Raw genomic sequence first — 25,828 nt, forward strand, 5'->3', positions numbered from 1 at the left:
TCATGTCATCTGTGACTAGGAATAATTTGATTTCTTCCTTTCCAATTTGGATGCCTTTTGTTGTTTTCTCTTGCCTAATTGCTCTGACTAGGACTTCCAGTAAATACTATGTTGAATAAAAGTGGAAAAAGTGGGCATCCTTATCTTATTCCAGATCTTAGAAGAAAGGCTATCAATTTTTCCCCATTCAGTGTGATGTTAGCTGTGGGTTCGTCATATATGACCTTTATTATTTTGAGGTATGTTCCTCCTATACCCAATTTGTGGAGACCTCTTAATCATGAAGGTATGTCAAACTTTATCAAATGCTTTTTCAGCATCTATTTAAATAGAAGTTTTTTTGTTAACTTGGTTCTAGCTGTATGTTCTTAAATGATCTCATCTTAATTTTATGCTTATCTAAATGTAATATTTGACACAAATAAGCATGTAATGCTTGGTATCTGTTTTTCCAGAGGGTTATACAGATTTAGTTGAGTTCAGGCTCAAGTCTTCATTTCTTAGTGAGGAAATCAAAAGCACCCTGAGAAACTTTTGCTTCAGATAACTCATGCCTGTAGCACTGTGACCCTGTTTAGCCACATTGTCTGAAGAGTGAGTAATCAAAACTTGATAAGACTTTATATATCATTCTCAAATATTAACATGCATAATAAAAACTGGGAAAACTTATTGCATACAGATTCCTAGGCTCCACTCCTTCAGAGCCCCCCCATTCAGTAGATCTGGGAGAAATGGGAATATGAAATTTTTAAAGCACAACAGGTGATCCTGATAGAGGTTGTTCTGGAAACCCATACTGGGAAAACTAACTTTGAGATGGGTCAGGAATGGTAAAAATTAATTTTAGAAATTTGCCATGCCAGTGAGGCCTCCCAAAGTGTTGGGATTACAAGTATGAATCACCATGCCTGGCCTGGTTTTTGCATATGGTAAGAGATGGAAGTCTAGTTTTTATTCTTTTTGCATGTGGATATCCAGTTTTTCCAGCACTATTTACTGAAAAGGGTGTCCTTTCCCTACTATATGTTTTTGGTACCTTTGTCAAAAATGAGTTGGCTGAAAATACATGGATTTATTTCTTAGCTTTAAAAATTGTGCTCCATTGGTCTGTGTGCCTGTTTACTTCTATGCCAGTACCATGCTGTTTTGGTTATTATAACTTTGTAGTATATTCTGAAGTCAGGTAGTGTGATGGCTCCAGCTTTGTTCTTTCTGCTCAGGATTGCTTTGATTATTCAAGGACTTTTGTGTTTCCATGTAAAATTGCTTCTCATCATGCAATGCTGAATCCCACTTGTTATATTTTTATTCATTCATTGATGCCTGAATTAAAGAATGTATTCATTAATTATTATTTGAGCACTCATCATATGTTCCAGGTTATATATAGTAGGTTCTGGGACATAGCAGTGAACAAAACAGGCAAAAGTCCCCACCCTCCAGGAGCTATATTCTAGAGAAGTAGGATATTCTCTAGACATTAAATAATATAAATAAACCATACATAGTCTCAGAAGGTGACAGGTGATATGGAGAAAAATAGACCAGGGAAGGATTATAGGCAGCACCAGGGGAGAGAAAACAATTACCATTATCATTTTAAATAGGGGTAGTTCGATGTCATTTGAAAGACCACCAGGATGGCTAAATAGTAAAAAAGAGAGCTTCATTTGTGATATCAGCTTGCAAACCAGGAAAAGAAATTCTCCAAAATGTACTCAAGGTGCTTTCTGTTTGAAGAGGGGAAACACAGATTGGGTTTTATGCCTCAGAAGCTCTGTATTAGACAATAGAGTCATACATATTCAGTACGTTTGGGCTAAAAGCGATACAAATTTATAAAGGTAGCTGAGCACATGTGCAATGGATAAAGATATATGTAACATACATCCCAGGTTCATTTTGGGATTTAGCATTAAAGTGAAGTGGACTTTGGTTCTTTACATCAAAAGGTGAAATATAGGACACAAAGACAGTTTGTGTGTAGCCTTTATAAACTGGCCAAAACTGTCTAGAGGTCAGTTGCTTATCAGAAAAACATATAAGGCTAGTCCTCTGTCCAGTAAGAGTTGGAGTGATCTGGGTTGTAAATCAGTTCTGACAATTTGTTAGATACCTGATAGCTCCGATTGTTAGGGAGTTTAACAAGAGTGTGGTTTTTCTTGTAGGGATTTAGAAATTTGCCATGTCAGCAAGGCCCTAAACCCCTGACCCATAGGTAGCATTTTGTTTCTTTAACCTTAAAGTCCATCTTAGTTTGTAAAGGGGCATCTATTTTGGTCTCTCAGATCAGGTGGGGAAGGCCTTACTGAGAAGGTGCTGCTGCAAGACCTGAAGGAGGTGAAGGAGGAAGTTGAGTGCAGAAGTATGACTGGTGGGATGTGCTGTGAACAGCGAGCTAGCCCATGTAGCTGGAACAGAGTCAGCAAGGGTGGGAGAAGTAGGAGATGAAGGGTAGCTGATGGTTATGGAACTTCCTGGACCAGTGTAATGACTTTGGCTTTTATTCTGGAGTGAGAGCTCATCTTTAAAATAGAGAAGCGCATAGATCTGATTTACAGTTTAAAAGAATCGCTCTGGCTGATGTATTGAAAGTAGATTCTAAAACACCAAAATCTTTGTGTGTTTGTTAGGATTAGTCTAGGTTGCAGTCATAAGAGGTCCTAAACAGCAATGGCTTAGAAAAGACAGATTATTATTTCCCAAAGCAGTTTAGGTTGTGATCAGGACTGGTAAAATGATAACACAGCGTCAGGACTCTGTTATTTGCATGGTACTTCCTACCTTTCCAGAGTCAAAAATGGCTCAGCCCCATGGCTGCAGGAAGACAGAAAGGGAAAGAGAGGGCATGCTGCCTTGCCTTTAATTGTGACCTAGATGTTGAGAGAACATCTGTTTCACTCACAATGCGTTGGCTGGGACTCAGGTACATGGCATACCCAGTTGCAAGAGACACTGGGAAAGGAAGTCTTTCATGGTTGTATACCCAAATAAAACTGCTATTACTTAAGAACAGTAGCTCTCAATGTGTGGATCCTAAGCCAGCAGCATCAGGACTACCTAGCAGCTTCTTAGAAATGCAAATTCTTAGGCCCCACCCTAAATCCACTGATCAAAAACTCTGGGGATGGAATCCAGTGATCTTCATTTTAAGGAGCTCTCTAGGTGATTCTGGTTTATGCTACAAGGAGGATAGAAGGAAGGAGACTTGTCAGGAAGAAAAGGAAGCACAGCTTTAAACTATTAATTCTTTCTTCCCTAATATATTATCTAAAGGTGTGTGGATTTTCAGTGTAAATTATTAATTAAAAGAAGTTGAGTCTTAAGGATAAGATGCAACATTATTAGTCTCATTTTAGACTGCAATAAGTATTTTTTTAAAATTTCTTTAGTATTGTGAAGGCTCCACCTGCAAAAGACTATGAAAGAAAAGTGAATGACAAAACATTGCTTCTATTTTCTTCTTAGGCTATATTTATTTTCCTGCTTTGTTTTCTTTGGTTTCCATTCCATCTTGTCAGAAAACTACTGTGTGTTGCCAGAGTTAATTCATATTTCTAAGATGTCTTAAATATCAACACACCATAATGAACAAATGAAAATTGCCATATCTGCCTGGAGAGAAAAAAAAAATGTTTCCTGGGAAAGTCATTCAACTTTCCCCTATTTATAAATAGAGGACTGTCTTGTGCAGAGAACTCAGGAATTAAAGTTAAAAGAATGGAGTTGAAAGTCCAACAACAGGTCCACCTCTGAGACTTTGGACAAGTTACCGGAGATTTGGACCAGAATTTGATTACCAGATAATCTTTAGTGCATGAAGCACTTTATGAACCAAAGAAGGATATCTCGTATTGACAAAAGGGTATAATTTATCAAGAATATTATTAAAATCATGATGATAGTTTCAAAATATGTAACATAAAAACTGATATGGTTAAAATAAAAAATCCACATATTGACAATCATCTAATGTGTCTTTAACATATGTTCTTCAGAAATCAACAGATCAAGTTGATATAAAACAAATTAAGTAGCACAAATGATTGCTCTGTGTTGAGATACCACAAATCAGAGGATACACACTATTTTCAGTCAATCCACATTCACAAACCTGAATATATAGTAAACACAAAATTTGGTATAACCCCCATTCAGAGAATACACATTATTTTTGCTCAGTCAACATTTAAAATTGACTATATTACCTACAAAAAATTTCTCAATAAGTCCCAAGCAGTTATATTCTTTGGGCACAGTGTAATAAAAGTAAAAATTAAAATAAAATAATACTAATAAATTACCCCATTAGTAACTTATATTAAAGAAGAAGTTAACAGCAGAAATTAAAAACTTTTAGAAATGCAGCCATACCTCATTTTCGGGGGGACTTGTTTTATTGTGCTTCACAGATATTGCATTTTTTAGCATATTAAAGTTTTGTGGCAACCCTGCATCGAGCAAGTCTATCAGTGCCATTTATCCAACATCATGTGCCCATTTCATGTCTCTGTGTCACATTTTGGTAATTTTCATAATATTTCAAACTTTTTGTTATTATTATATTTGTAGTGGTGATCTATGATCAGTAATCTTTAATGTGACTCTTGTAATTGTTTTGGGGCACCACAAAGTGGTCCCATATACATGGCAAACTTTATATATGTTGGGTGTGTTCTGACTACTCCACTCACTGGTCATTTCCCATCTCTCTCTCTCTCTTTTTAGGCATCTCTATTTTCCACAAAGCAATATTGAAGTTAGGCCAATTAATAACCCTACAATGGCTTCTAAGTGTTTGAGGGAAAGGAAGAGTTTCATGTCTCTCACTTGGAATCAAAAGCTAGAAATGATGAAGCTTAGAGAGAAAGGCATGTCAAAAGCCACCATGAGCTGAAACCTGGGTCTTTTGTGCCTAACAGCCAAGTTGTGAATGCAAAGGAAAGGTTCTTGGGAGAAATTGAAAATGTTATTTGTGTGTTCACAAATGATAAGAATGAGAGCAAAACAACCTTATTTCTGATATGGAGAAAGTCCACGTGATCAGGATAGAAGGTCAAACCAGCCATAACATTCACTTAAGCCAAAGTCTAATCCAGGGCAAGAACCTAACTCTTTAAGTCTGTGAAGAGTGAGAGAGGTGAGGAAGCTGCAAAGAAAAGTTTAAAGCTAGCAGAGCTTGGTTCATGAGGTTTAAGGAAAAAAGCCATCTCCATAACATAAAAGTGCAAGGTTAGGCCATAAGTGCTGATAGGGAAGTTGCAGTAAGTTATCCAGAAGATCTACCTACAATCATTAATGAACATGACTATGCTAAACAATAGATTTTTTATGTAGATGAAACAGCCTTATCCTGTATTAGAAGAAGAAGCCATATAAAACTCCCATAGCGAGTCAGGTGCGTTGGATCACACCTATAATCCCAGCACTTTGGGAGGCTAAGGCAGGAGGATCACTTGAGCCCAGGAGTTGAGGACCAGTCTGGGCAACATGGCAAAACCCAGTCTCTACCAAAAATATAAAAATTAGCCAGGTGTAGGGGCATGTGCCTGTAATCCCAGCTACTTGAGACTTGCGAGGCTGAGGTAGGAGACTCGCTTGAACCCAGGAGATCAAGGCTACAGTGAGCCATGATCATGCCACTGCTTTCCAGCCTGGGTGGAAGAGCAAGACTGTCTCAAAAAAAGAACAACAACAACAACAAACCCCCCCAAAACAAAAAGCTCTCATAGCTAAAGAGGAAAAGTCAATGACTGTCTTGTGAGGGGCTAATCCAGCTGGTGACTAAGTTGAAACCAGTGCTCCTTTACCATTCCAAAAATCCTAGGTCCGTTAAGAATTATGCCAAATCTACTCTCCCTTGTGCACAAATGGATGACAGCACATCTGTTTAGAGCATCGTTGGGTGAATATTTTAAGCCCACTATTGATATCCACTACTCAGAAGAACAGATTCCTTTAAAAATATTAATGCTCATTGACATTGCACCTGGTCACTCAAGAGCCCTGATGGAGACGTACAAGGAGATTAACAATGTTTTCATGCCTGCTAACACAACACCTATTCTGCAGCCCATGGATTAAGGAGTAATCTTGACATTCAAGTATTGTTATTTAAGAAATACATTTTGTAAGGCTATAGCTGCTACATACCATGGTTCCTCTGATGGACCTGAACAAAGTAAATTGAAATGACCTTCTGGAAAGGATTTACCATTCTAGATGCTATTAAAAACATTCATGGTTCATGGTAAAAGGTCAAAATATCCACATTAATTGAAGTTTAGAAGAAGCTGACTCTAACCCTCATGGATTACTTTGAAAGATTCAAGACTTCAGCAGAGGAAGTAACTGCAGAGACGTCTGGTGAACAACAAAAGAACTAGAATTAAAAGTGGAACTTAAAGATGTGACTGAATTGCTGCAATCTCAGAATTGAACTATAATAGATGAGGAGTTGCTTCTTATGGATGAGCAAAGAAGGTGTTTTTTGAGATGGATTCAGCCTGGTGAAGAGGCTGTAAACATTGTTGAAGTGACAACAAAAGACTTAGAAGCTTACGTAAATGTATCTGATAAGGTGGTAGGGTTTGAGAGAGTTGACTTCAATTTTGAAAGACATGCTACTGTGGGTAATATACTATCAAATGGCATTGCATCCTACAGAGAACTCTTTCAGAAAATAAACAACCAATACAACAAACTTTATTGTTATTTTGTTTTAAGAAACTGACACAGCCACCCCAATTTTCAACAACTATGACCCAGTCAGCAGCCATCAACATGCAGCCAATAACATGGAGTCAAGACTCTCTACCAGCAAAAATATTAGGACTCACTGAAGGATTAGATGATTGTTAGCATTTTTTAGCAATTAAGTATTTTTAATTAAGGCATGTACATTATTTTTTACACGTAATGCTATTGCATACTTAACAGACTACGGCATAGTATATTATAACTTTTATATGCACTGGAAAACCAAAAAACGTGTGTGACTTACTTAATTGCAATATTTGCTTTATTGCAGTGATCTGGAATTGACCCCAAAATATCTCTGATATTGCTTATAATCTGCAATATCAAAACTTGTTTGAAACAGCCAAAACAGAGAAATATTTACAGCCTTGGTGCTTAAGATAATATTAAAAACATTGTTGCACTGCTTATATGATACGGAGAAAGATGAGGAATAAACTAAACATTTAAGTAAAGAAGCCAAACATGATTAATAAAGAAAATCCTTTAAAGAACAGTAATTAAAAATCTAAATGCAACAACAAGCAGAAAACAAAACAGTAGACTTAATAAAATCAGAAGATTCTATGCAACATAGACAAAATGTTTGGTTAAGGACAAAAGAGGTGATGCAAACAAACTATATTAGGAATGAGAAAGATGACATAAATGGAATCATGAAAGGAATTTTAAAATAAAATAGTATAATAGTTTAAAACAATTGATTGGAATATAGATTGGACAGACAATTTTCTAGGAAAATGTGAATTGCTAAATTTGAATCACAAAGGAAAAGAAAATTAAAACATACTAGTGACAATTATGGTAATTAAAAATCGGTAAAAGATCTGCTCCCAAAAGAAGGCAAAGGATCTGGGTAGATTTCAAGGAATGATAAATTTTGATACTTTATACACTATCCCAAAGCATAGAGAGCTTTAGGAAAAAAGGATAATTTTTTAATTCACTCAAAAGGGTTAGCATCATACTAATATTTAAGCCATACAAGAATAGCACTAAAAAAAAGCCCATATGTTATAACTCATTTATAAAAGGAGGTGAAAAGTCTTAAATAAATTGTTAGTAAATAGAATACAAAGGTATCAAAAATATAAAACATAAAGACGTGAACTGATTCCAAGAATGAAATAATTATTTAACATTTGAAAAAATTATAAGTGCAATTCTTCAGAAAAGGTTTAAATATAATTACCTAGAAACATTCTAAGGACAATCCCCTAGACTCATTAATGCTACTATAACTTAATGAAATTTATACTCATGCCTTAATTTTTAAAAATCTATTTTAGCAAACAAAGGAAAAAAACACTTTCTTAGCTTGAAAAGGCTATTGACTATAAATCTACAGTAAGCATCATAATGTTGCAACATTGGAAACATTCCTAATACAATCAGGAATAAGACAAGAATTTATGCTATTACCACTACTATTCAAGCAGGGCTCCTAATAATGCAATATAATAAGAAAATTAAATAAAGGCAAAAAATATCATTATTAGCAGCCATAATGATTGCCTACTTAGAAATCAAAAGAGAATCAACTGAGAAGCTTTCACACCTAATAAGAGAGTTCAACAAGAAAAGCAGATATAGATAAGAATGGTTAAATTTCACCAGCAACGGTCAAAATATTTATAATAACAATGAATTCAAAATAAGTACAGATAAACTTAATAAGAAATTTTCAAAACCTTTATGAATAAAGCTATAAAACTTTACTGAACAAAGATAATACCTGAATAAATGGAGAAATATCCTGTGTTTATAAAAGGTAAGATTTACTACTTTAAAATTATACATTAGCACCTATATATTTATAGATTATATATTTAATAAGTTGTAATAAAAATTGCAAGAGGATTTATCAATAGAACTTTAGATAATTCTAAAGGTCATCTGAGAAAAATACACAGAAATAGAAAACTTTTTGGGATAAAATAAGGAATGATTTCTACTCAATATGAAAACATATTATAAAGCTAGAAAGATTAAATCATTAAAGTATTATTTTAGAAACAGACAGATTAGTAGAACACAAGAGAGTCATAAAAATATTCATTTGTATGTGATATTTAGTTTATGGTAAAGAAAATTTGTTCTATCAGTGAGCAAAAGATAGAGCTTTCAACAAATGGCACAGAGATGATTGGCAACCAAAGCAAGGGAAAAAATGGTTTTTAAATAACATCATGTACAAAAATAAATTGCAGACACATTAAAAGGTTAAATATTAGAAAGAAATACAGGGGACAAGTTTTGTAATTTTGGTGGTTGGAAAGTCCTTACTATATAAGATTTACAACCTAAAGACATAAAGGAAAAGACTGAGCTTTTACTACATTAAAATTAAAAGCTGCTGATCTATGAGTGATACCATAAACAAAGTAAAAAATAAAGCAACACACGGAGCAAAACAGCAACATAGCTGTATTTATTGTTATCTATTTAAAAGGTGAAGATACATATTCACAGTGTATAATGTTTTATAAGCGTTTAGGAAAAAGACAAATAATATAATTGAAAAAATTGACAAAGACTGAACAAAAATTATATGCAGAAGAAATATAAATGTACATAAAAAAAGTGAAAAATGATCAGTTTCATTAGTGTTCAAGAAAGGGCAAATTAATATACAAACAATTTTTTCTCATTAGATTGACAAAAATAATATTAAAAGTCAACAGATAACATTCAAAATTGAAGTATGGGCAAATTTCATATTCTCTGTGGTTATATAAATTGGGCTGACACTTTTAGAACACAAATTCCCAATATTTTGATTAGAGAAAATTTACAAATTTAGGTAGGTCTCACACCAGTTTTACTTCTGGAGGAGATGGAGGGTAAGATTGGAGAAGGGAGGAGAAAAAATACTCACTTTGTATACTTCTATATCACTGAATATTTTAGAGTAAGAATATCTTCATTACTTAATACTTATGTATTACTTAATGTATTTACTTTAAAAAATAATTGCATTGAGTTAGAACTGTCTACACAAATAGAAAATGCACCCAACTTGAAGCACAAATGTATTAATGAGAGTTCACTTTTGTGTCAAGTGAGGACACGTCCCTCTAGAATGTATAGCTTAGATTACAAATTACCAAAATGTCATCTCATTTGTAAGAAAACACAAGACATGGTTTGCTCACAGTCTCTCTACTGCTACTGAAACTTTTGTAAACATTCTTTTTCCCTTTTAATGAACATAAATTCAACTTCTCTGTTGATTCCCAGAGACTCCTTAGTTGTTTCCACTGCATATGCCTCACTAAATCAGACTTCAGTTAATTAAATTCGCTTTACAGCTGCTACAATTCTTTTGGGCCATTAGGCTTAAGGGGATCTATTAAAAATATAATTTTATGATGTCAAATTCAAGAGAAAAATGGAAGATATTGGACTTGGGCAGAAAGGTGAACTATTTCTAAGCAAATAAAGAAAGCCACTCTACCCATTATTCTTTTTTTTTTTTAATAAACAAGTTGAGAAAACTCTTCTGCTCATCCATTATACTTTCTTAGCAAAACTCCAAACTAGGCTCAACCTTAGCAAAACTCCAAACTAGGCTCAAGCCTGCTCTTTGTCTAAATCTGTATTGCCAAGTCCTGCTAAAGAAAATTATAGAACCACTGAGATGAGTATGATTAAAACTACAGTCAGTGACCCAAACTGGGCCCTCAACGCTCAGGATTTATTTATTCTCCCAAAGCTCCATTCTCCTCAATCCTAGACCCATGTGTGCTGCTTTGCGTTCTACTTCACTGAGAAACTAGATGCTGCTGCAATGGATATCCCTCTATTTCCCACTGAGGAGCCTATAAAACCACCCTCCCTCCTTCATTCTGTACTGTAAGAGACATTACTCTTTCAGTCTAAGATTATTGGACTCCACAGTGATCTGGGTCCCAGCACCTATAACTCTCACAGGGACCTCGCTCTATTGATAAATCTCTCCTTCTTGCTATTTCTACTTCTCTCTTTCTATTGGCCTCTTCCCACTATTATTTCAATATGCTTAAGTCGTTTTCTTCTTACAAAATGAAACCCCCACTTAAACCCACATCTGCCTCCAGCTTCCATGCTCCTTTCTTTTATAGTCATGCTTCTGGAAAAAATATTGTCCTTATATGAATGGAAGTATGTTTAAGTTATTAATACCAAATAATTACTCACAATATTTCACACATCTCTTTCTCCCTATTTAAGCAGGTAATTGCCTTTTTGATCATTTTCTCAAGAGAATGATTGACCGGGGAGAAATTAGAATGTGACTTTGAGTCTTCTCTTTAATTCCATTGTGAAAAAAGATGTTCAGACTGTAGATAAAATATTTGGGGAAGGAGAGAAAAGAATTGCTGTGCTTGCCCTGTCATTCCCTCTCCCTGTTGAAGGATGCATTTGGGTTGAGGGTAGGAAAGAAGAAGGGCAAGTAGCCTCATAGATGTGGCACTTCCCAGTGAGGGCAGTAGATTGAGAGGACAAAGGTAGAAGGCCTCGCTCTTTAGGAGGCCCCAGAAAGAAATGTCTTCCTTGTGTATCTAGCCATTGGGACCATGAATGCTTGTTTCCAAAGTGTGGCATAGAAGTTGAGTGGGAGCCTCAGAACTTAAGAGGCCCTGAAAGCGCAAACAGGGGATGTCTAAGTTAGAAGCATCCTGTATGTATCAATGGGTGAAAAACACCCTCTCGCAACATTCCCGAGTGCCAAACCTCCTCCGAAACTTGATTAGATCCCAAAGATGGGAGAAGCCTCCAAAAGAGGTGATAGTTTGTGTCTCTCTAACATGTGCAATTGAAACAGCATAACCAAATATCTAGGCTGAAATTTATGTCAAGGTAAGCAACAACTGTCATTCGTGCTAGATCTAATGGATGTGTTTTAGACATTTTCATATTTGACCTATAACAGGTGACTTCGTTGACCATTCCTTCCTTTAAACCCTCTCTTTTGGTGGAATCTCATGACACTAAAAAATTCTGATACTTTTACTATTATTTTTTTTTTTTGCAATTCAATCTCTCTTATGAATTCTTCTACTGCTTGCTCTGTAACTGATGCTACTTATTCTTTCATTTAACAAATGTTTGTTCAGTATCCACCATGTAGCTGGCACCGTTCTCAGCACTGGGCATACAACAATCAACAAGGCAAATTTGGCCCCTTCCCTTATAGAGTTTACAGTCTAGTGTAACTGAGAAACTGAATGTGAACAAGGACCTGATGAGTGAGACCCAACATGAACCAAGACCAGGTTTGAATCACACACTTCCATCCCACTCCATGATTTTGCCAGAAATAATTAATTCAAATTCCTCTGTAGTAAGGACTTAGACATCTCTAAAGCAAGCCAGATATCTGTTTAGAAGCTCTGGCCACCTTTCATCCATCTGCCTCGTGGATCTTATCTCTTGAAATCTTTTAGCACTTCAAACTCAAGATCTCAAAAATTGGTCTGTTTTCTTATTCTGTGAATGGCATCCTATTATCAGGCAAAGCACTTGCCTCTTGTTCTTTTTTTCTCTCTTACCTTCATCCTAAGTTCCTAAGTTCTATTATGATATATCCTATCACTTGAATTTACCCCCTATTAACTCTTGCCTAGATTACTAAAAAAGGTGCCTAACTGCTCTCTATTGGTTTTAATCAAATCCCACTCAAACCATTCTTCACAGTACAGTCAGAGCCACCTTTTTAAAAATATATAATTTGGGAGTGGGATTTTTAAGAAAAATAATACAAAAGAATACAGCTTTTATCAGGACTCTCTCTGCTTAAAACTCTTCAGTGATTTCCCCAATATTCTTGAAGGAAAGCCCACCCATTCATATGGCCCATAAGTTACTGCCTGATGTTATACCTATAACCCTTCCTACTCTCATCTCCTCCCCAAAACCTATGCCCTTGAATACCATTCCTGCATCTCATAGCACAATTTAGTAATCTAATTTTTTTTCCAATTTTTTAGTCATGCCATGAACTCTGTTACATCCAGTTCTTTCTATCAGGAGTTTTACATTATTGCCATTTCCTTCCCACCTTCATTGGGAAACTCCTAATTCATCCTTCAAGTCTTGGCTTTGACTTTGTGGAGGAGTTGTATCCCTCCAGCAGGTTGCCATGCGGTACTTTTCTTGTAATATCCCTTAATCACTTTGTATTGTGATATTTACTTATTTGTAACCTTCCATCAACAGTAAGCCTTTGAGGGCTAAGATTCTCTATTATTTTCACCATTGTCTCACATGTATGAATGCTTGATATATATATATATTTATATATAAATATATATATTTATATATAAGTATATATATAAAATATATATATACTTATATATAAATATATATATGTACACACTTTACATGTACTTATTGGCATTTTAAATAAATAAATGTATGCATACTGTAGAACTTCTAAATGGAACTAAAGCTAGCAATATTTATAGTAGACCAAGAAGGCTTTTGAGTTTTTCATTTGACTAAATGCTATATGAGATGCTGAGAGATCTTAGGTAGTGACCCCTGTTATTAGGCAGATGAAAAACTGTCACCTGGATTTCCCTTTAAGGAAGACTTACTGTGAAGCTGGTGGAGCTGAAATTTCAGAGCCCCTCAGATGCACAGTATCTTCCAAAGTCCCAGAAGGGACCTACCAGTGTAATCACAGTCCTGTGATATTGTAAATTTTAAAAAAGCACAGTATTTTAACCACAGTGGTCTCTTTCACTCCAGCTTCTCTTCTGTCATTATTTTTCCTGTTATCCTGTCATGCTGGATTAGCTGGAGGCATTTCTGAAAACTGGCTAAGGGGAAACTGAATCCTGGATACATTTAGTTTGGATTTCGTGGGATATACTAGTTGAATTGGCAGTTATTTCTGTTCAAGTAAGTTGTCATTAACTAATTAAAATATTACATTATTTTTCTGGATGTTCTGATGTTTGTTGTTTTAGTCAGTTTTTTAAAGTTTGTAATTTTAATGAGTTCTTTTTTATAATTAATAGATAATAACTTTTATACTTAATTTTGTATATATAATTTTGTATTTTTTTCCTTAAAGGGCCTACTCCCAAATTACATAAGTTTCTGGCCCCACATTTACCTGGATGTTTCTTCAGTTTTTCTGAATATAAACAAAAGGAATGGACTGTGGGGCAGGAGGAAACAGACTGTGGGTTCTCTCCCAATCTGTTTTCTACTTATCTTCCTGGCAAGGTCCTGTTAAGATGTCAAGAGTCACAGAGTCACACCGATGGCAGGGAATGCGGAGCCTGGAGAGAAGACACTTCATTTCCAGGTCCCAATGTGCACTAAGACTGTCCTTAGAATGGTTCCTCTTCATTCCACTGACCACATTCTCTGAATTTGTCCCTTTACCACGGTCTACCCTATCCAACCCACTAAGAATGCTAAAATCATACGACACCTCCAGAAAACAATGCAGATGAAAAATGCCATAGATATTATGATACGTTTTTGTTTCCAACAGTTTTTTAATCTGCCTTCTATCTGTACTAATACTGGAGATGGTCCCCTCCATCAAGAAGATCTTGATCTAATAAAGGTGGAGACAGGAAAATAGGCAACCGCACATAATCCCAAGCACACACAGCTGATGACCCAGATGTCTATCTTTAGGATGGTCTTGCATTTTTGTACTTACTCAACAAATACAAATTGAACCCAAACTCTATGCATAGAGTTATATATCTAAATGGGAGGCAGACAAAGAAAGTACTCAACTGTGACCTTTGTCAAAATAGTGTCTGATTTTAACTGGAACCAAGAGATACCAGTGAACTGTCAGTTGACAGTCTCAGGAAAATCTCACCATGGTTAATTGAAAGCAGAGAAACAAATTTCAGTTTCTGCCAAAAAGCCTTAGTGGTGTTTAAATAAGTTAACATGTGTAAAATGATCTAATGTTGAAAATATTCTGCTTCTGCTTCATAATCAAAATGAAAAAAACCCTCAGAGGAAATGTAAAATTATGAGCTTGTCTGCCAGCTTCACTAAGGCATACATCTCTTAGCTTCCAACTAGACAATTGGCTATTTCATGTTATTACATAGCAACACGACCGTTCTCAACAGTAAATGACTAATCAGCAAGGGATAGGGAATAATGTCATTTGTTTTCAGGAAATCTCAGGAAAGTAAAGAAAATATGCTGTATCTAAGCTGCAATTAGCATGCATGCTATGCTAAACTTTCTTCTCTCTCTTGTGTGATTCTCACCCTGATGGAGTGTAATGTTTTATAAGGTCAAGGAAAGAAAATTAAGCCTCTGCAGCAGAGGTATCATTTATTGAGAATCTGTTATTTCCATGTATTATCACGCTGAATTCTCACAAGAACCCTGCAAGATAAATATTTTCATTTTACAAATGAGAACCCGGCTTCAAACAAGTTACATAACATACCCAACGCAGCTAGTAAGTAGTTGAGTCAGAATTTAGACTCAAGTCTTTCTGCACCAAGTTATATTCTGTGGCACAATGCAAGGTATTTAGTTCCTCTATATATGACTCCGGCTTGTTTAGACTTTTCAAAAGGCCACTCCTTGGGCTTAGAAAGGATGTGAACAGAGCTGGCCACCACAGATACCTAGCTGACTCTGATCACCATGGGGCATAGAGTATACACACTGCATAGAGTTGGCCCCTGTAATACTTCTGTCGAAAAGCAGTGTCTAGAAGGGATGGCCTTGGAGGTGTTAGTTGATTGCTCTAGAAAATATGGGTGAATTTGGGAAGACTGGTCCTTTTTCCTTCTACATCTCAGATATCAACTGAGAGAACTAACTCTTCCCCTAAAGTCATCACATAAATATGCCTAATACCATGCAAGAAATCTGCCTAGATAGATAAAATCCATCCAGTCCTTCATAGCATTAAAGGCATGCCCTTCCATGTTTCAATGTTTGGCTCTCTTTTGATCACAGGATAAATCCAAACTCTCAAGAATAGCAAATCTTTAAATAACTACTCCTTACCCTAACCCATGTGTCCTCTAACACAGGGAACAATTCAATATTTTCCAACCTTCTTTTTACTTTCACATTTCTGTATGCCTTGGCTCACTGTATTCCATCTCCTGGAAATGCCTCCTGCACCTGCTTCTCTGGTAAAACTCTTGGTTCTCCAATATGTAGCTCAGTTAAAGTATTTCTGAAGAATCTCTTGATCCCTTCAAGCAAAATTAACTTTTACAGCCTCTGAGCTCCTGAAATAATTTGTGTAGGCCTTTATGAGAGCATTAATAATATTATAGCATGATTACGTAACTGTCTACCTGTCTTAGTCGTCTACTGGATTACATTATTTCCTATTTCCTATTCATATCTCTAACTAGGTTCAATAAATAAATGGGTAATGTCCTCATTTATCAGGCTTCACTCTTTCTTCTATTTTATTTAAGTTAAAGTCTTATACTATATTTGTCTTCTTTTCTCTTTTGGTAGTATGAACTCAGAGTATTTGATTTGAGGGAAATGTATAGTTATATTCCAGAAGCCAAAAGAGAAGAAGAAGGAACAGAAGTAGAAGGGGTGGTTATAGAACTAGTAAAAGGAGGCAGAGCTGGGGACATTTTTTACCAGGCTTTCTGCAATGAGAATAATCTGTTTTTGAATGAGTCTTTTTTTTTTCTTGCCCTCTCTGTTAGAATGCAGTTACACATGTCACATTTGAAATGTTCCTAGGAGAGGATGAATACAAAGCATGACAAAAAGGTCTTTTTCTAAACTGTCCAATATTCTTTAGAGATACCTTAGTTCAACTGAGGTCATGGGTAAACAGATAGATGTATTGCTCATTGAACTGAGTGCAGCATGGTACAGTTGAAAAAACATGCAGATTGCAGCTAGAAGTCCTGAGGTTGCTCACCAGCTTTGCCATTTATACACAGTGTGTCCCTGGACAGGTTATATAACTTCTCCATGCCTCACCCCACTAGCCCCCAACATTAGAATTACAACAGCTCCAAATAGCATAAAATATCTCAATGTCTGGTTCAGAGTAAGTGCTCATTAATGCTATTTATCTTCCTTTGAAAAAAAAAGACATTTTTACATTAAGAATTAAGTATATTCAGCAATTTCCTCAAAATTACAATGGATATAATGGGAAATTTTTCTAATTCCTCCAGTCCTTAGTTTGAGAAATGCTATAGAATGCTGGTTGTAACATAAGTGAGACAGAATTAGTTATCCCAGATGGGAAAGTAAGGACAGTACTGAGCTTGAATTCCTTTTAATGAACTCCCCTGCTCCAGATAATGAAAAGAAAGTTCTATTTCTTGGATCTTGGAAAGAAATGTTTTTAGAGAGAAAACCATACATATTATTCATGCTGACAATATGGATATGCTCAACCTATGAACCAAAACAGTCTTAGTTAATGACAAGCTGTAATATGCATTTTTGCTAAAATGTACCTAATTGGAAGCTTTCATAAATTGTTTGTGTGGTTTTCCCTTTTTCCTTTCAAAATAAATAAGTACATACATAAATAAAACTGGGGTGTTTGTGGTAAAATACCCCAGATTGTTAGTGAACAGGTTTATCCTGAACTTTTCTATTTCCATATAGTAAATATCACTGCTGAGTGTCAATAATGTTAGAATTTACTTCAGAAAAATGCTACTAATGGTATAATTTGAGCACCATCTATATGTATATAGTATTTTATTAAGGTAACATGAGCACAGTATGACACTACTTGTGCAATTTTGAAAGGTTAATTGAATTGTTGAACAATATTTTAATTTATTCTAATTTGCTTCATTGGAATTCTTCCTTCTAATAGTTTTGAATATCTTTGCATGCATTAAAGTCTACTAAATTCCTTTTTACCCAAATATACATTTGTGGCCACATTTGAAATTTGAACCCCATTGTTAGCTAAATGTCAAACCCTTTAAAAATCTTTTCATTAAAGCTCTTTTTTTTTTTCCTGAGAGTTGAAGTCATCTTATTCACATTATTTCCTGAAAAAGAAAGTGCTTGGTTATCCAAAAGTCTTATTTCTATCTTTTATATAGGGTACAGATAAAGACTATAGTGCTTTTATAGGTGTGGCAATGTTGCCAAATAAATTTCTAGAATTTCATTTTTATAAGTACAAGTCAGAAAATTTGATAAATTGCAAGTGTGGAATCAGAGGCCTGTATGTTAAAATAGATCATTACTATACAAGCAAGTGGCACACTGCTACCACCATAAGACATTTTCATTATTTCCCATTCACAACAGACACCATGATTTTCCCACCAGTCATAAAGATCATCTTAAGTAAAGAGAGAGAGCAACAATTTCAGAATGAGATGTTTTAAGAATATTTTATGAACTTATTCCAAAAATCAGTGAGTAAAACAGAGAAAATAAATTCACTCTTGAGTTCTAGATTCTACAGTCAAATCCACACCAACAGTCAGAGGGTGTCCTTTTTCTGTCTTTTAGAATTACAGATGTGAGAAAACTGCCACCAAAATATATTTTCAAAGTGTTAAAGTATACGTATCGGAAGATAAAAATCATGACTCTAAAAAACTTTATTTAACTCTTCAATTTATGAGGGACTCAATAAGTGTTATGACTGCCTCAAAAATATTCAAAATGCTAGGATATTTATAGGAGATTTAGCAAAGAAATGTTAGGATAAGATTGCTGATTTTGATTAAAAAGAAAAACGAAAGGGGCTGGGCACGGTGGCTCAAGCCTGTAATCCAAGCACTTTGGGAGGCCAAGGTGGACAGATTATGAGGTCAGGAGTTCGAGACCAGACTGGACAATGTGGTGAAACCCGTCTCTATTAAAAATACAAAAATTAGCCAGGCATGGTGGCATGCACCTGTAATCCCAGCTACTAGGGAGGCTGAGGCAGGAGAATTGCTTGAAAGTGGGAGGTGGAGGTTGCAGTGAACTGAGATCATGCCACTGCACTCCAGCCTGGGCAAAAGAGAGAGACTCTGTCTCAAAAAAAAAAAAAAACGGGCTCCATTATAGTCCAACAGATCATAAGTCTTTGGCACCATTTATTTCACTAAACAAAAATTATTTTCATCGTTACTGGACAAAAATCTATCAGTAAGGTAACTTCATTAAGTCTGGGACCTTTTGTCAATAACTAACAATAAGATGAACTAAGAACATTCTTCTAGCCAGTCCTTGAGTGGCCTTTCCCCCAATATTATATGAAAAAAGCATACCACAATTTTATGCCTTTTTTCCAGTTTTTGATAATTTTTCTGACAAAAATAGTAAATTGTGCAGGCGATGCTTCTCAAAAGTTTTAAAGTACCACCAGTAAATATCTATATTTCACTAAAACACTGTTATGAGTATTGATTCTTTGGTTTGTTTTCTTGTATGTAAAGAATTGTAGAAAGCTCACTCCGTACTCTATTAGCAGATATGAAAATTGAGTTGCAAATCTGTAGTGAGTACTAAGGTTACACTTGAAATACACATTGTACTGTTTCATATTTTAAAGCCATTACCTTTTTTTCATGACACATGAATTTCTATAGCTTTTGAAAGGGCAGAGTACACAGATACTCTCTATCATGGTTGTCAGATAAAATGACCTTGCTCTGACCGATGTGGACCTACCCAGAATTACATTTCCACAAGGTTGATGAATTGTTTTTGCAATATCCATGTCTATATGCCTCTGCCTAAATACCAAGGTCTTTCATGTTTCTCCCAAAATAGTTCTCTGCAATTTCCCAACATACAGGCTTGATTTGGGCACATATCAAGGTCACTTAGAGTCTCTGCATGAGGACAAAGGCTCTGAAGCCAGATTCATTGCTTTGAGTCCTGATTAAGAGGCTCCAGGCAAGTTGCTCAACCCCTCTAAGAACCTCTTCTCATTTTTAAAATGGGCCAATAACATTACCCTCTATGGAGGGCTCCTGTGAAGATTAATGAATACATTTTAGTCATTTAGGGCATTAATTGTGGCACAGTGAGTGCACAATAATTGCATAATACATAGGTTATATACAAATAAATATCATTGTATTTATAATAATAATAAAGTGTCAGCTTTTTTTGGTAACTTCAGCCTTCTCATTCTCTATTCTGTGTTTCTTAGATTTTTTTTTCTTTTCACTTTTGTCTCTCCTCCCACCTGGAAAATGCTCTCAATCTGTGCCATCTTTCAATGCTGTACCACAATCTCCAGTTTCTCTAACTCCTAATGATCTCTTCTTCTAAACAGCCATTGCATTTAATTGTATATTACCTTACAACATTTGCTGCTATTTCACATATGCAGCTATTTCTGCTGTTAGACATAAGCATCTTGAGGACGGTGTGACTTCAAGTGTGTACTAATTTTTATAAGGTATCCTTCTACCTAGGAAAACAGGCTCCAGCCTAAATGCTCCAGGCTTAAAATAAATTAGAATAAGGGTAATAAAAAGCAGGTACAGTGCCATTAAGCCAAACCTCTCCTCCCAACTACTCTGCACCCACCAATCTGTGGGTGTGATGTCAGTTGGCTTCCACGGGAATCTATGCTTATGGGGCTGCTCTCTGCATTTGATTTTGCTGCTCTAGTGTCCCGGAGAGCAGTCTAAGAAAACACAGATGTATAAAAGCCTGGGAAGACATCATGAAACAGTTCGTATTTTGTTTCCATCTTCAAGAAAATCTTTGGACTGTCTGTTGTGCACTAAACTAAACTGAGTACCAGTGGTCTACAGGACATTGTTCTTTCTCTCAAACTGCTCACAGTTTTATGAGTACAACAAGAGTTTTACTAATTTATATTTTTGTAGATCCATAATAATTTTAATAATCTGTATCAATTTTAAATATGAGACCAGAAAGATTTACAATCAATCTCAATTATGGATCATTTATTTGGTTCTCCACCTCTCCACTTATTTCTGCTCCCTAGATCTTTCTGTAACATGGTAGAGCTCTACGGGGAAAGAAGAGTTCACAAAAACTTTTTGCAGCCACCTTCAGCACAGCTCACACCACCAACTACTTGAGCCCAAGCAGCACTTGTTCTGTGTACTGTGGCTCATCCCCAAATCGGTTCCATTGCTGCTGCTGCTGGTGGTATCAGAACTGAAGCTGTGTCTGCCCCCTGCATTTTTGCCATGATCCTCTGTGAAAAGTGTCCTTGTGTGTAGGCTCACCAGCTGTCCTGGTTGCCTGTGACTGTCTAGGTTTGAAGCACTGGAAGTCCAATGTCTCAGAAAATCCTGAACGCCCAAGCAAACTGGAATAGTTGGTCACTGGGACATATATGCACAGCTGAACCTTCTTCCAGGCAGTGTGTTAGAGACTCTGCATCCACCAACTCCTACACCAGGCACTAAGTCTACTTCCTGATTCTTTCTTTAAAGCATTTTAGGTCAATTTCTCCTGCTAGAATTCTGTATCACTCAACACCACTCTCCTGAAGGGATGAAATAGGTTACCAACAAGCATCATGCAGTGTTTTTCTGTTCCTCTCCTCTATGACAGCATTGGATTCTATTATCCTTCCTCCCTACTATTGCCCTCAGCAGCTTTAGCCCCTCTTTCCTTCTCCTCTCCCTCCCTCCACCCAATCCCCAGAGGTTCTGCCTTTTGAGAAGAATCAACCATTAGCTCTCCAAAAGGTTGCATATTTGTCTGATTACTTTTTGAGACAGAGTCTTGCTCTATCACCCAGGCTGGAGTGTAGTGTCATGATCATGGCTTACTGCAGCTTCAACCTCCCAGGTTTAAGTGATCCTCCTGCCCCAGCCTCCCTAGTAGCTGGGACTATAGGCATGCACCACCATACCTGGATAATTTTTTTATTATTTTATTTTTTAATTTTTTGTGGAAACGGGGTCTCACCATGTTGCCCAGCTGGTCTCAAACTCCTGGGCTCAAGCGATCCTTCCACCTTGTTCTCCCAAAATGCTGGGATTACAGGCATGAACCACTGTGCCTAGCCAAGTTGCATATTTAAACATAACTCTTTAGTATTTCCTTATCATCTCTGAGCCAAGATTCTTACCTCAATGTCTACTTCTATCTACAGAAGAAAAATACATCCACCAACGATGATTTATTTAAATATCTGAGGCTGGAATCAAGGCCAATTTTCCTTTGGCCAGAGTATGTGTTCTGTATTTGGTTTTACCAAATGCTAAGTCCAAATGTAAAAAAATATACACCACTTTAAGAGTCTTAGGAATAAAATGGTAAAAGAAGTTGAAGAGCATCTCTAGCTAAATAAGGGTTGTCATTTGATTAATGCAAGAAAAATCAAATAGTCACAAAGCTCTCCAAACATCTCTCTTTCAGAATTAGAGCCATAATATACATTTGATTCCCCAAAAAACACATTTCTGAAAGTTCTAAGCTAGTGAAGATATGAATTGCTAATGAACCCTGCAGGATTCATAATTATAACTTTGCAATCATGACACAACAATATGCTCAAAAGCAATGTTTGGGTACTCTTTGAACATAATTGATAGCTAAGCATATGCATTTTAGTGGTAGGTGATAAGAATCACACATAAAAGTTTTTATCTTGGTATAGCTGGAGGGGGCTATGTGAGGAGGTAAAATGATTATTTTACAGGAAAAAGAAGATGTCCTTATCTTGTGTGCCATAGATCTATCACATTCTCTGACAGGATTCTACTGAAATCCTTCAGGAGTTTCCTAGTGCTCTGCCTATAAAGGCCCCAATCCGTATATGGCCTAAAGAGCTCTGCATGATCAAAAACAGTGACTCTTACCTGGGGGCGATGATTTCACCCTTGCCCCCACCAGGGAACATGTGGCAATATCTGGAAATATTTTCAGTTGTTATAACTGAAGGGAAGGGATGTGAATGGCATCTAGTGTGTAGAGGCCAGAGGGTGCTGCTAAAATTGTGCAAAGGGCCACTCCCCACAACAGAGAATCATCCAGCCCCAAATGTTAATCAACAGTGCCAAGGTAGAGAACCTCGATATTAGCCCCTTTCTTTCTCTGGTTTCTTCTCATATCCCTCACTCCTTCCTGTACTGTGTTCCTATTTTATTTTCCTTTCCATTCTTTAAATGGGCCCCTATCCTTCCCACAACTTGGACTTTGCCATTCTATTCCTGCTGCCAGAAGCTCCTCCTCCAGATTCCTCTCCCTTTCCTGGTTAACTATTATTTCTCCAGCTCTCAGCAATTAAAGCAATTTTTTCAGACTGTCTCGCCCCATTAGACCAGATATCTCTGTTACACAGTCTCCTGACATGTTGCACTTTTCCTTCATAGCCTGTATCACAGTTTATAATTATGGGAATGCTCAATTACAGGCATACCTCAGAGATATTGGGGGCTTAGTTCCAGACCACTGCAATAAAGTGAATATCACAATAGAATACATGATATGAATTTTTTAGTTTCTCACTGCATATAAAAGTTGTGTTCACCCTATGCCATGGTCTATTAAGTATGTAACAGCATAATGTTTAAAACAGCAGTGTAAAAGCTTTAATTTAAAAATACGTTAGAGCTGAAAAATACTAACAACCATTCAAGCCTTCAGTGAGACCTAATCTTTCTCCTGGTGGGGGGGTCTTCCTGATGTTGATGGCTCCTGGCTGATGGGGCAGCAGTTGCTGAAGGTTAAGGTGCTTTTGACAATTTCTTAAAATAAGAAACCATGAAGTTGATCACATCAGTTGATTCTTTTATGAAAGATTTCTCTGCACCATGTGATGCTCTTTGACATCATTTTACCCACTTTCAAAATTGGAGTCAGTCCTCTCAAACTCTGCCACTGCTTTGCCAAACTAAGTTGATGTAATCTTCTGAATCCTTTGTTGCCATTTCAGCAATGTTCACGTCATCTTCACCAGAAGTAGAATCCACCTCAAAAAAAGAACAACAACAAAAAAAAAGTTTCTTTACTCATCCATAAGAAGCAACTCCTCATCCATTACAGTTTAATCATAAGATTGAAGCAATTCAGTAATGTCTTCAGGTTCCACATCTAATTCTAGTTATTTTGCTATTTCCACCATCTCTGCAGTTACTCCTCTACTGAAGTCTTAAACTCCTCAAAGTCATTCATGAGAACTAGAATCAGTGTCTTCCAACCCCCAATTAATGTGGATATTTTTACCTTTTCCCATAAATCACAAATGTTCACAATGTCATCTAGATGGTAAATTCCTTCCAGAAGGTTTTCAATTTACTTTGCCCAGATCCTTCAGAAAAATCGCTATCGATGGCAACTATAGCCTTGTAAAAGGTCATTCTTGAATAATAAGACTTGAAGTCCAGATTACTCCTTGATCCATGGGCTGCAGAATAGATTTTGTGTTAGCAGACATGAAAACAATGTTAATCTCCTTGCACGTCTCCATCAGACGCATCCTGGGTGACCAGGTGCATTGTCAATAAGCAGTAATATTTTTGAAAGGAATCTGTTTTTCTGAGCAGTAGGTATCACTAATGGGCTTAAAATATTCAGTAAACCATACTATAAACAGATGTGCTGTCATCCATGCTTTGTTCCATTTATAGAGCACAGACAGATTAGATTCAGCATAATTCTTAAGTACTCTAGGGATTTTGGAATGGGAAATTAAGGTTGGTTTCAACTTAAAGTCACCAGCTGCATTAGTCTCTAATTAGAGAGTCAGCCTGTCCTTCCAAAGCTTTGAAGCCAGGCACTGACTTCTCTAGCTGTAAGAGTTCTAGATAGCATCTTCTTCCAATATAATATAAGGCTATTTTATGCACTTTGAAAATCTGTTGTATCGTGTAGCCATCTTCATCAATTATCTTAGCTAGATCTTCTGGATAATTTGCTGCAGCCTCTACATCAGCAATTGCTGCTTCACCTTGCACTTTTAGTAAAAGGAGAAAGATGCATATGATCTGAAGAGAAATCACCAGAGTATCATCTTGCACTTTTATGTTATGGACATGACTTCTTAAATCTCATGAACCAACCTCTGCTAGTTTCAAACTTTTCTTCTGCAGCTTCCTCACATCTCTCAGCCTTCATAGAATTGAAGAGAGTTAGGACATTGCTCCGGGTTAGGCTTTGGCTTAAGATACTGTTGTAGCTGGTTTTATCCTCTATTGAGACCACAAAAATTTTCTCCATATCAGTAATAAGGCTATTTTGCTTTCTTATCATTTGTGTGTTCATTAGAGTAGAACTTTCAATTTCCTTCAAGAACCTTTCCTTCGCATTCACAACTTAGCCAACTGTTTGATGCAAGACACCTAGCTTTCATCCCATCTCAGCTTTCAACATGCCTTCTTCTTACTCAGCATAATCATTTCTAGCTTTTGATTAAAGTGAGAGATGTATGAAATTTCCTTTCACTTGAACACTTAGATGACATTGTAAGATTATTTTTTTCTAATTTAACCGAGTTTAATTCAAAAAAGGGTAATTCAAGATTGGGCTGTCTCCCAGGCCAGAATGCTTTCAGAGACATTGTGGCACTTCCACGTGGTTAGAGAAGATTTCTGGGAAGAACAAGGAAAGTGAATGCAAAAACTGAAGTGAGGTACAGAAACAGCTGGACTGGTTACAGCTTGGGGTGTTTGCCTTATTTGAACAGCTGGCTGACTGTGATTGGCTGAAACTCCATGATTGGCATAAGAGTAGGTTACAGTCTGTTTAGATGTCCAGTTAGGATACAGTTTATTATGTATGAGAAACCTTTAGGCCAAAATTACATGGAGGCAGCTTTAGGCTAAACTTAATGTAACAACCATTGCAGGGTTACTAATTGGACTGATTTCAATGTTGTTGTTTCTCAGGGAACAGGGAGGCTTCAGGAGAGGGAGCGAGATGAGGGAAGGGCCAATAAGTGGAAGGACCAGGACATAAACATTTAGGGATTAAGTTCCCTATCTTACGTGAGCATGGTTTTTGGTGCCCCAAAACCATTAAAATAGCACCCAAGTTCACTGATCACAGATTACAATAACAGACATAATCATGAGGAAATGTTTGAAATATTGTGAGAATTACCAAAATGTGACATAGAGACATGAAGTGAGCACGCAGTGTTGGAAAAATGGCATGGACAGACTTTGCATAGACTTGCTCA

At 36.4% G+C, this 25,828-nt stretch overlaps 1 long non-coding RNA gene across 2 annotated transcripts in view; it reads right to left on the reverse strand.

The window, feature by feature from the left end:
- The window catches only part of LOC124901975 (uncharacterized), a 267,232-nt gene that overhangs the window by 130,528 nt on the left and 110,876 nt on the right, over window positions 1-25,828 (reverse strand). Inside the window, exon 4 of one of the 2 annotated variants that reach the window (XR_007061003.1) lies at window positions 15,053-23,621. The exons of the other annotated variant lie outside the window; for it this stretch is intronic. This is a non-coding gene — a long non-coding RNA (uncharacterized LOC124901975). Of the gene's footprint in view, window positions 1-15,052; window positions 23,622-25,828 lie in introns of those variants that run through there. 2 annotated transcript variants of the gene reach the window in all.

This window comes from Homo sapiens, chromosome 8 (assembly GCF_000001405.40).
Source record: "Homo sapiens chromosome 8, GRCh38.p14 Primary Assembly".
Classification (NCBI taxonomy): Eukaryota; Metazoa; Chordata; class Mammalia; order Primates; family Hominidae; genus Homo; species Homo sapiens.